At 41.6% G+C, this 12484-nt stretch overlaps 1 protein-coding gene across 21 annotated transcripts in view; it reads left to right on the top strand.

Moving 5' to 3' along the window:
• The window catches only part of ATP11C (ATPase phospholipid transporting 11C (ATP11C blood group)), a 210556-nt gene that overhangs the window by 159674 nt on the left and 38398 nt on the right, over positions 1-12484 (top strand). For 20 of the 21 annotated variants that reach the window (XM_047442018.1, XM_047442024.1, NM_001353810.2 and 17 more), the window contains 2 exons: positions 2277-2540; positions 8796-8970. In XM_047442018.1, coding sequence (XP_047297974.1) covers positions 2277-2540; positions 8796-8970 — 439 coding nt within the window. Of the gene's footprint in view, positions 1-2276; positions 2541-8776; positions 8971-12484 lie in introns of those variants that run through there. The other variant, XM_047442030.1, reaches the window with a different exon arrangement.

Here is a 12484-nt window from a genome sequence, read left to right as displayed (position 1 = left end):
CAATCCATATTTTGAATTCCTTATCTGTCATTTCAGACTTTTCATTCTGGTTAGCCTGTATTATTACAGAGGTAGTACAATCCTTTGTGTGTGTCAAGACACCCCAGCTTTTTGTACCGCCAGAGTTCTTACACTGATTCCTTCTCATCTGAGGGATCTGTTGCTTCTTATTTTTGAATTTGCTGTAGTTTGGATGAGACATTTTTTATTTTTTAATTCTTTTTTCCCTTGAGGATATGACTGTGGTATATGTTGTGTATGATTGTTTGGCTTTGTTTCTGGGTGCTTTCGACGGGGCAAGGCTCTATATGGTTTCCTTGGTTGTGGATAGCTTCAGTGCAGTGGCTTTCTCAGATGCTGTTTGCTGTAGTGATGTATTGGATGCAAGGGCTGACACACTGCCTCCCGCAGGGCTAAGGGTGTGGAGGTGTCAGAAAGCTTAGCATGTGTACTAGCACTAAGCCCTTCTGGCAGCAAGTTATTTATTTGGTGGTGCAGTTCAGGCTTCAGTCTGGTAGATGGAGTTTAAGAGTAAGAGTCAGTTCTCCCTCTGGGAGATGATGAGTGGAAGCACCTACCCTGAGGGAAGGATGGTGGCAGGGGTTGGAGATCAGGTTGGGGTATGCTGGGTCTTGGGGAAAGGAACAAGGAGGGGTGCACCAGCTCCTCATCCTGTGCAGGTAGGAAGATGATCCGCTTCTCCATTATGCCCCTGTCGTAGGGCTCACAATCTTCAGTTTGTATAGACTTTATCCTTTGGTTCCTGGTTACATTGTGGCTGCAGACCATGGATACATCTCTCTGATGGTTGCCACCAAAATGGGCTTTGGCCGAGCCTTTCCCCCAAGTTCAGAGCAGACAACTCTGCAGCTTACCTGTCTGTTGCTGGGATGCTGCTGCTCTGTGTAGGGAGTTGGAGTTGGGCCCCACCCTTTGTGAAAGCCCAATTGGCCTGAGCTCGTTTTCAGCAGGGGTAGAGCCACTGCGAAAAAGGTGAAAAGTTTCTCCAGGTACATATGCGCTACCATCCACTGGGAAGAACTGCTGCTGGCTGCATCAACAACAGTGTACAGGGGGTGGACACAGTGGGAAATGACCCCTCTCCATGACTGTTCCTGGCCCTCAGTGCTACCCCCTTCAGTGATTGTCACTGTGCCCACATTTCTTTTGTCCCAGGAGGGCCCTTAGCAGGCTGTGCTTACCTCCCCCTTAGGGGCAGTCCATGCCGAGGGATAGATCTCCAGGGATCCCATAGCTCCCTGGGGACTCACTGATCCCCATGAGCTTGCCAAAGTCAGAGCGGGTTGGAGTATATTTGCAGGGAATCTGATGGTATGATAACTCAAGGGCAGAGATTCCCCTAGGTAGGGCATTGGCCCACTACAGCAGCACAAACACAGTGGTTCCTGCCCTCTAAGTTTGGGTCTGAGGGGAGTACTGACATGCCTGCATGAGCTGGCCACCTGGATCTCTGTCCCTGGGAAGCTCCTATATCGCCACTGATGGCATTGCCCTAGGTAAGGAGGGCAGAGGGGTTCCCCAGCAGTTTGATGATCAGGAGATTGCCACAAGGTGAGGGAAGCAGAGAAGCATTTCCACCTACCCTTTACATGGGGCTTTGAGTTCCTTAAGGGACAGTCTCTGCCAGACTCTCGCTTCTTCCCTTTTCTGTATCCCAGCTTTCTCTTGTGGGCTCTCCAACAGGTCCTGGCTCTCTTCCCACAGTTTTCAGTTCAGAAGATGTCCATTCACCAGTAACTTTGATCTTTTTTATGAGGACAACTGGCATTTGATGTCCCTAGTCAGCCACCTTGAAAACCCATGTTCCTGTTCTTAAAGCTCCTCAAGGATAGGGATTCACTAATTTCCCTCATCATCTGATTAGAATGTTTGGACCTTTATACTTTGAATGATGTTAAGTGATGTTAATTGGTATGGTTAGATATAAAATGAAACATGCTAAAGTGACATTGAGTACAAATGTTTCTGAACATTTTAGCTTAGAATGATGATACTCAATTCTGCCATTGGATACCAGTTACCCAAGGTGTCACAAACTTTTCAGAACCTCATTGTTTGAAATTTGCTTTAATAAGTAAAATTATGCCCGAGACAACACTCAGAATGAGTAGGGGATGTATATGAAAGTCAACCGTGATAAGGTGTCAGGACTCTAGAATTGCTGTGAATTATAAAAATATTCTCTTTAATAAGCCTTCCTGTAGAATCTTTGTCAGGAGTTTTAGAAGATCACAAGGTTTCTTTTGTGTTCCCAGGCTACAAGATCAAGCTGCAGAGACCATTGAAGCTCTGCATGCAGCAGGCCTGAAAGTCTGGGTGCTCACTGGGGACAAGATGGAGACAGCTAAATCCACATGCTATGCCTGCCGCCTTTTCCAGACCAACACTGAGCTCTTAGAACTAACCACAAAAACCATTGAAGAAAGTGAAAGGAAAGAAGATCGATTACATGAATTATTGATAGAATATCGCAAGAAATTGCTGCATGAGTTTCCTAAAAGTACTAGAAGCTTTAAAAAGTAAGAAAGTACATCAGTTTCTTATATTTAGACATTGGTGTAGATGTAAATCACAGCTGCATATACAAAAGGCTTCATTTTCTGTAATGCATGATTTTCTGTTTGCAGGTGTTTTATCCTTATAAGTTAAAATCGTCCCTGAGGACTTGAATAATGGCCCATCTGAGATTATTTGGCACTTTCCACCTTTTCTTTTAACTTAAGAGAAAACTGCACATTTCGGAAGGTTTAGAAAAATAGCTCAATTTTTAAATGTTTAGAGTCTAGGTATTCAATGTTGATATTCTGGCCTGGTCCATGTTAAGAAAAAAATATTCCTTTCACAGTCTCTTAAATTGAATGTAATAAAATCAATCTTTATGACAATTTTCATGCATTTTGAGGTTCTGGAGCCATTTTCTGTGCATTTTTATACCCCAGAGCTCCAAATGGAATCAAATACTTGTTAACGTGGCCACTTTCTTTAGAGGACATGGCCGCTTTGACTCTACTTTCAACTAGGAAGAACTTGTGGAACATAAAGGTGTCAGGGAAAGCCACTGATAAACAATAATTCAGTGCCCAGAGATATATTTTCTATACTTCCCATTGACCAAGGGTGAGCTTTGTCTAAACCAATTACTTGAATTTACCTTGGCCATAAGCAAATTGATTTCCTTTTTTGAAATGCCACTGGATGTGTCTGTACTAACTTGAAATATCCCTAAGCAATATTATTTTCAATTTCTTAAGCACACTTTATGTTCCAGGAACAGTGTTAAGGGCTTTGTATGATAATTATTATTTAATCATCATTAACAACCCAGTTAGGCAACCGTATTTTCTTCATTTCACAGATAGAGATCACACAGCTAAGAAGAAGTTCAGAAAGTCTCTCCAATTCCAGATCCCATGCTTATAACAACTATGCTATATCTGTATCCTCATCGCTAATGTTTAAGCAAGCTTTAAAAATGATTAGCCCACATTCATGAGGCTGTGGCCAATTCTAAAACAGCTGTTGTTCTTCTAGTACTTGGGCATCAGTGATAATAAATAGGTTTTTATTAATTGCCTATGAGAAACTTTTTCCTTTAGCCAAATGGTACTTCTAAAGATAGTCCAAAGTATGTGCATTTTACTTCTCCTTTTGTCTTAGTCTGCTTGGGCTGCCATAACAAAATACCATAGATTGGATGGATTAAACAGTAGAAATTTATTTTTCACGGTTTTGGAGGCTAAAGTTCTGTGATTGGAGTGCCAGCATGGTTGGGTTCTTGTGAGGGCTTTTTTCTGGCTTGCAAATGGCCGCCCTCTGCTGTCTCTTCCTCTTATAAGGGCAGTAATCCCATCATGGAGGCCCCACCTTCATTAACTCATCTAAAGTCAGTGTATTAGTCTGTTTTTACACTGCTGATAAAGACATACCCGAAACTGGGAACAAAAAGAGGTTTAATTGGACTTAGAGTTCTGCATGGTTGGGGAGGCCTCAGAATCATGGCAAAAAGCACCTCTTACATGACAGCGACAAGAGAAAAATGAGGAAGAAGCGAAAACAGAAACCCCTGATAAACCCATCAGATCTCATGAGAGTTAATTCACTATAATGAGAACAGCATAGGAAAGACCAGCCCCCATGATTCAGTTACCTCCCCCTGGGTCCCTCCCACAACACATGGGAATTCTGGGAGGTACAATTCAAGTTGAGATTTGGGTGGGGACACAACCAAATCATATCATTCTGCCCCTGGCCCCTCTAAATCTCATGTCCTCACATTTCAAAACCAATCATGCCTTCCCAACAGCCCCCCAAAGTCTTTCAGCATTAACCCAAAAGTCTACAGTCCAAAGTCTCATCTGAGACAAGGCAAGTCTCTTCTGCCTATGAGCCTGTATAAAATCAAAAGTAAGCTAGTTACTTCCTAGATACAATGGGGGTACAGGTATTGGGTAAATATAGCCGTTCCAAATGGGAGAAATTGGCCAAAACAAAGGGATTAGAGGGCCCATGCAAGTCTGAAATCCAGCAGGGCAGTCAATTATTAAAGCTCCAAAATGATCTACTTTGACTCCATGTCTCACATCCAGGTCATGCTGATGCAAGAGGTGGGTTCCCATGGTCTTGGGCAGCTCTGCCTCTGTGGCCTTGCAGGGTATAGTCTCCCTCCTGGCTGCTTTCACAGGCTGGCATTGAGTGTCTGCGGCTTTTCCAGGTGCACAGTGCAAGCTGTCAGTGGATCTACCATTCTGGGGTCTGGAGGATGGTGGCCCTCTTCTCATAGCTCCACTAATCAGTGCCCCAGTAGGGACTCTGTATGGGGACTCCAACACCACATTTCCCTTCTGCACTGTCCAAGCAGAGGTTCTCCATGAGGGCCCCATCCCTGCAGCAAACTTTTGCCTGGACATCCACACGTTTCCATACATATTCTGAAATCTAGGTGGAGGTTCCCAAATCTCAGTTCTTGACTTTGTGTACCCTCAGGCTCAATGCCATGTGGAAGCTGCCAAGGCTTGGGGCTTCCACCCTCTGAAGCCATGGCCTAAGCTCTACGTTGGCCCCTTTCAGCCATGGCTAGAGCAGCTGCACAGGGCACCAAATCCCTAGGCTACACACAGCACGGGGACGCTGGGCCTGGCCCATGAAACCACTTTTCTTCCTGGGCCTCCGGGCCTGTGATGGGAGGGGCTGCTGTGAAGGTCTCTGACATGGCCTGGAGACATTTTCCCCATGGTCTTGGGGATTAACATTAGGCTCCTTGCTTCTTATGCAAATTTCTGCAGCTGGCATGAATTTCTTCTCAGAAAATGGGTTTTTCTTTTCTGTCGCATCATCAGGCTGCAAATTTTCTGAACTTTATGCTCTGTTTCCCTTTTAAAATGGAATGCTTTTAACAGCATCTAGATTACCTTTTGAATGCTTTGCTCCTTAGAAATTTCTTCTGCCAGATACCCTAAATCATCTCTCTCAAGTTCAAACTTCCACAAATCTCTAGGGCAGGGACAAAATGCCACCAGTCTCTCTGCTAAAACATAGCAAGAGTCACCTTTGCTCCGGTTCCCAACAAGTTCCTCATCTCTGTCTGAGACCACCTCAGCCTGAACCTTACTTTTCATATCACTATCAGCATTTTTGTCAAAGCCATTCAACAAGTGTCTAGGAGGTTCCAAACTTTCCCACATTTTCCTGTCTTCCTGTGAGCCCTCCAAACTGTCCCAGCCTCTGCCTGTTACCCAGTTCCAAAGTTGCGTCCACAGTTTTGGTTATCTTTTCAGCAACACCCCACTCTACTGGTACCAATTTACTGTATTAGTCCGTTTTCATGCTGCTGATAAAAACTTACCCGAGACTGGGAAGAAAAAGAGATTTAATTGGACTTACAGTTCCACATGGCTGGGGAGGCCTCAGAATCAAGGCGAGAGGCAAAAGGCACTTCTTACATGGCTACGGTAACAGAAAAATGAGGAAGAAGCAAAAGCGGAAACCCGATAAACCCATCAGATCTCATGAGACTTACTCACTCTCACGAGAACAGCACAGGAAAGACCGGCCCCTATGATTCAGTTACCTCCCCCTGGGTCCCTCCCACAACACATGGCAGTTTTGGGAGATACAATTCAAGTTGAGATTTGGGTGGGGACACAGCCAAACCATATCAGTTAGTTACTCTCAAGGGCCCCACCTCCTAATACCACAACACTGGGAGTTAAGAGCTTCAACAGATGAATCTTGGGAGAACACAATTCAGTTTATAACAGATGCAAATCCCATCATGAGGGCCTCACCCTCTAAAGGTGCTATCTTCAAATACAATCACATTGGGGGTAGGGCTTCAGCATGAATTTGCAGGGGAACACAATTCAGTCTATAGCACCATTCAACAGCCCTGAGGACACTTTTGTAAAAGCCAGGGCTTGTGGAAAACTTAATTTACTGTCACTGTCTCAGATCAGCCCATCTTCCTGGTTATTTGTTTGGAGTCGGGCACAGTCTTTACTTACTTACACAGGGTTCAGACTCAGTCACCTTTGCCAGCTTCTGCTCCTTTGCCCTTTCCCCTTCAAATCAGCCCCCAAGCCATATTCATACCCCCATTCTCACCTCTAGTGCCCCACCCACATCAGAGGTCTAGTACATCATGCATGAAATCCCTTAAGCCCCTCTGCCAGATGAATGATCTTTAAGTGAAGCACTGTCCATATCATATCCGCTCTGAAAACTTTGGTGGTTCTCCATTAGTCACAGATTCAGGCCACACCAGAGGCCTTAAGTGACCTTTTCAACCTGCTTTTGCAGTGCACCCCAACATACATTCTATTACATCACCTCTTTATTCCCTGTTTTTCAAGTCCTACTTTAGATATTGCACCTCACAAAGAATCCACTATTCTTTCCTGTGTGGATATGTCTCAATAACTGGACATCAACCATTGATTATCTTGTTTGGTTAGGTAGTTCTCTCATGTATGCTTCTATCAATCTAAGGAGATTTTCTATTCTCCATAAAAAGATTAGTCCATAATTCTTTGTATTTCTCTATATAGTGTGCTTATAGTTGGTGTTTACAAGTTATTTCTTCATTGGTTATTGAGTTGCTGTTTTCAGCCCCATAAGTAAGCTATTAATATATGAGTAGGGGAGCAAAGAAAGAGAACACATCATTTATGTCTCTTTATTTAGTGAATAAAATTATACAGCAAAATATTTGTAAGTATAAAATGTTATGGTATTAGCAGTATACACTGAAGAAATATGGAATAAAGGAATGATGAGGTATATTAGGCCCTCACTACTCAAAGCTTCGTCTATAGAATAGCAGCTCCATTGTCACTGGGCAGCTTGTTAGAAATGCAAAATCTCACATCACACCCCAGACCTAACGAATCCGAATTTGCAGTTTAAGAAGATTCCCAGGTGATTCCTTTGCACGTTAAACTTTGAGTATCATTAAATTAGATAACTGAATCTCTGAGATCCTGCTTTGTCTAATGCTTCCACTGTAGTGGTTGTCAAATGGCACCCAAGATTCCCCGGAGCAAAACTTGAATAACCACTTGTTTGTTTCCTAATTGAAAAATAAAAGTTAATTGGCAGAATTTTCTCATTTGTAAGTTTTACACTATATTTTTCTTAAATACTTGGCACCTGTTACACATTTGTCTTTCCTGACACCTAACACCTCTTAGTCCTGGCTACACATGAGAACCACCTAGGAAGCTTTTAAAATATACCTATATATAACCAAGCCCTGGCCAAGGTACTCTGATTTAATTGGTCTGGGGATAGGCCCCAGGCATGGGCAATTTTTAAAGCCACCCAGATGATTTGAATGGGATGGCTAGAGAACCACTAAGCTAGTATGTAAAATGATACATTTAAAGAATATATATATATATATATATATATATATATATATATATATATATATGTATGTTTGCCCCAAAGCCATTTGTCTTTTCCCTATATTGCTAGGGAGTTTCAGACTAATTGATGATTTGTCTTCATAGCAGAGTTTGACTAATTAATTTGAATTCCAGATACCATACGTTTCTTATACAGAGTCAGGCTGCTTAACCTCTTATTTTCTAAACATCAAAAAAAAAAGTTTATATTAGTCAAAGTTCAACCAGAAAAATAGAACCAGTAAAAGAATATATTGAGAGATTTATTGTTAGGACTTGGCTTGGGCAATTGTATTATCTAGCTGGGCAGGTCTAGATTTGTGGGATAGGCTCTTAGGAAGGGCTGGGACTCTCAGGCGTGAGCTAAGGCTACTGCCTTAGGAAGTCTCAGGAAGTAGCTAAGGCTACTGCCTTAGGAAGTCTCAGGAAGTAGCTAAGGCTACTGCATCAGGAAGTCTCAGCTCTCCTCTTAAAACCTTTCAAGTGACTGAATCAGGCCCACTTTAGTTATCTAGGATGATCTCTCTTACTTGAAATCAACTGCTTGTGGACTTTCATCACATCCACAAAATACCTTTACAGCATCACTTAGACAATTGTTTGATTAAATAACTGGGAAATGTGGCCTCACCAAGTTGACCTTTTAGAACTTGTAGTCATCTATTATGTGCAACTTGGGTCTCAAAGATACGATTGCAAATCACTGTTGTGCCATTATTAGAGGCAGTTGCTTCTTTAGAGTGAACAGGTTGAGGAACCAGATTGATGACTCCCCTTATCTGAGACCACCCCCTTTGTTGTTTAAAAAAAAAATCTGGATCCTAAACAGAAATCTGTAATAAATCCAAACATAGCATTGTTTCTCTTTTTCAGAGCATGGACAGAACATCAGGAATATGGATTAATCATAGATGGCTCCACATTGTCACTCATACTAAATTCTAGTCAAGACTCTAGTTCAAACAATTACAAAAGCATTTTCCTACAAATATGTATGAAGTGTACTGCAGTGCTCTGCTGTCGGATGGCACCATTACAGAAAGCCCAGGTAACTGTGAATATTAGTTAACGTTCCATTCTGGATACTTCTATACATATATGTGCAAATGTTTATTTTTTTAAAAAATTATTTCTTCTTCAAAGGGCCATTATTACTATCTAATTTCTTCCTCCAAGGCTTCTTTCTTTTTGTAATCAGACTCAGAAGTCTTTCCCCATTTTGAATTAAACTTATGCTGCACCTTGTTGTCCCCTCAATCTGGCTGTCCCAGTTCCTCACCTTCCAGACTTTTTTCTCTGATGAGTGCTTTGTGCCTGCTGCCACTGCTCCTAGATCCCTTATGACATTAGCTCTGTGTGTTCTTTCTGCTCTTCTTACTCCCTTGGCTTGCCTGCAGGTAGACCTGGCCCATCCCTTGTGTAGTCTTCCATTCTCTTTCTCATTTCTCCTTTGCTCTTGACACCATCAGTTATATCCTCCTTAAAATTATGCTTTCATGGTCTCTGTGACGGTCCATGGTCCTGACATTTTATTTGTCAATGTAGTGACTTTTTATTTTGTGCCATCCTCTATTTTCTCCCTAATTATCTGTTTTTTCTAGGGCAAAGTTTTCTCTCCACTTTTAGCTTTATGGTCTCTCTCTGGATAAGCAAGTCTATTTCTCTGACTCCCATTGATAAATGTGTGCCCCTGACTTTTTCTTGACATTAAGTCTTCTATTTCTACCTGTGTGCTAGACAGCTATATATGGATTCCCTACCGTCACAAAAATTCTGGTGTCCAACACAGATCTTAAAATTTTCTTCCTCAGACCAGTTTGGTTTTTCTTTTATATTGTTCTTGTTACCAGTGCCACTTTTCTCTTGCTCCCTATGTCTCAAAACTACCTTTGATCCTTCTCCTCTCCCTCTATATATAGTCGCCATGTCCTGTTGGTCCTACCTTTTGTCATAGCTCTCATTTTGATGCCATCTTTCAAAACCTTTTACTGCCCAACTAGTCCAAGCCTTTATGACTTTACACACAGACTATTTGATTTAGTCTCCTCACTGGTCTCCTTGCTTTCACCCACCCATTTTTAATCTCTCCACACTCCCAAATTAATCTTGTTAAAACACAACTCTTCCTATCATACATTCTTTTTCGGACACTTTCAGTAGTTTCTTAGTCCCTTAGGATGAAGGGCAGTTGAGTGAATGTGGCGCCTGGGGCTCCCCACTGTTGTCCCTTAACATGTCTCTACAAATTTTGTACTTTGTGTCCACTATCACTCCTTTCTCTGGTGTACATTCTGCACTCCTGTTGGTTGTTCTTCCATGGTCTTCCATATGTCATGCTCAGGGCAACTTTCAAAACTTTTGTCACATCATTTCCTCATCTGGCACTCTCTCTGAATTCCCCTGGCCTAACACAAATTTTACTCATAATGAAACCTAGATGAAGGGCCACCTCCTACATGCTTTCTTTTCCAGCTCCTCCAGTCCAAATTGCCTCACCTTGCTTCTTTGTATTCACTAGGTACAAGGAAACTTAGAGTCTCCATTACCTACTTTTTCATTTCCATATATGCTATAGGATATTCTTTCATATGTGTTAGTTTTGCTTCATCAGATTCTTTAACCACTTCCTCTAAACAAGGGGATGGCTGTGTCTGTGGCTTTTCTTTTATATACTGTGCGCGCGCACACACACACGCACACATATGCACACACACACACACAGCGCCCATCATATTTGAGGCATTTCTTCTGTCTGCCTTCTAGCTCTCAGTCCCCACTGCAATCAGAGGCTCTTCTTTCTTTTCTTCAATCTTGTAAAACTTTCTTGGCCCCAGGTTGGGAATCAGATCCAACCAGAATACACTATTCAAAAGTATCTGTCCCCTTAGTCAGAGGTTTTCCTGCAAAAGCGATCTCTTTTTTTCCTTACATTCAGTGTATGCTGCTCAAATTGCTCACCTGGGTTCTGACTGCTTCACTGCCAGGCAGGTATATGAATTCCTGACCCCATGCTGCTTCTTCCACCTTAATTATGCCACCACTTGTGGTTTAGTCCTCATTCTGTTTTATTTCTGTCACTATAGTTATTTTTTGCAGGATATTACATACTTAGCTGTCATGTTCATGTATGTGATATTCAAGTCACTATCTCCAATCCAAATATTTGGTGATCTACTTTACTTTTTCAGCTGTTTCCCAAACACATATTCTTGGGTGTGGCATTATCACCCCAAATCTGACTTCTCTAGAGTCCAACCATCATTTTCCTTGGCATCTTCTTTTTCTATGACTGACCTCAGTGTACTTCCAGATTTCTAGATTCAAAACCTTGAAACCTGTGTTGCCTTCCCACATACCACATACATTACCCTTTCATTGTAGTCTTAGTCACTAAATTTTGTCTGTTTCTTATTACATCGTCTTTTCCATCTATTCCTTTCTTTTCATTACCTTTCAGGGCTAGGCCTTTCAATAGCTCATTGAACTCCTGGAACTAGCCACCTAACTTCTCTCTTTGCCCACAGTCTTGCTTTCCTCCGGTTCTTCCTACACCCTGCTGTTGAACTAGCTCCAGATATTTCTGTCCATGTCTCCTATATGAAAATTCCAATTGATCTGGGCAAGCCAGATCTATTCTCTCAGCATTTACTGTATTTATCTGGCTATGTGCTCTTGGATATGCTAGTTCCTTTCTCTGGAATACTCCTTTCTTTCTTTCTCATCTATGCGAGTCTTACTAATATTTCATGATTTAGATCAAATCACTCGTCCTTCTGTAAAATTCCTGATCACTCTGGCATGTATGGTATCTTCTCCCTTCTCTGACATCCTAGGCCTTCTTACATGGATGACAATATCATACATTCCTGCACAGATGCTACATTTTGTTACCTTGTATTGTTAATCTGCTTATCTAATATTCTTGTACTCATGACCTAACTCTACTACTTCATTTATATGCTTTTTAAGGTGTGTGATGAAACCTTATATCTGTTTTGGCTCTTAGCACATTCCTGTATACAATATAAAGCAAGCTATTATACTTGATGAATAGCTTTTGGTAAAATATTTTTTTTTTTCATGAAGCTATCCTAGAGATTGAAGAGGTCTTAATCCATTTGATCTAGGGCTGAGTGAAAAAGTCCATGTTTACGAATCTAAATCCCTTCATGATTTTATGGTCCATGATTGTATATCCTTTTATCTTTCTACAGTGGAGAGTTTTACTCTTTTTAGTCTATGTTTTCATGCAGAAGCTGTCACCCTTGATAATTTTATTGCCTTCCCTAAACCTTGGGTGCGTATTTTTTCCTTGAGGTGCAAATCGTTACTGCACACAGTATAACAGGTGCACTTAGTTAACCATTATTGTAGCCTATTAAAAACACATTTAGTTTGGGTTCTTTAATTTTGTCTTTTATTCTTTCACTTACAGGTTATTTCTGACAGTCTTCTGTAAAGTTTTTAAGAAGAACCAAGTTGAGGGGAGGGATTGGGGGAAGCTGGCATTTCATAGTCACATCATTTTTGTGTTAAGTGGAATTGGATGTGGGGTTTTTTGT

This window comes from Homo sapiens, chromosome X (genome assembly GCF_000001405.40).
Source record: "Homo sapiens chromosome X, GRCh38.p14 Primary Assembly".
NCBI classification, from domain to species: domain Eukaryota; kingdom Metazoa; phylum Chordata; class Mammalia; order Primates; family Hominidae; genus Homo; species Homo sapiens.
Note: the sequence above shows the minus strand (reverse complement) of the source record. Positions and strands in the feature narration are given on the sequence as shown.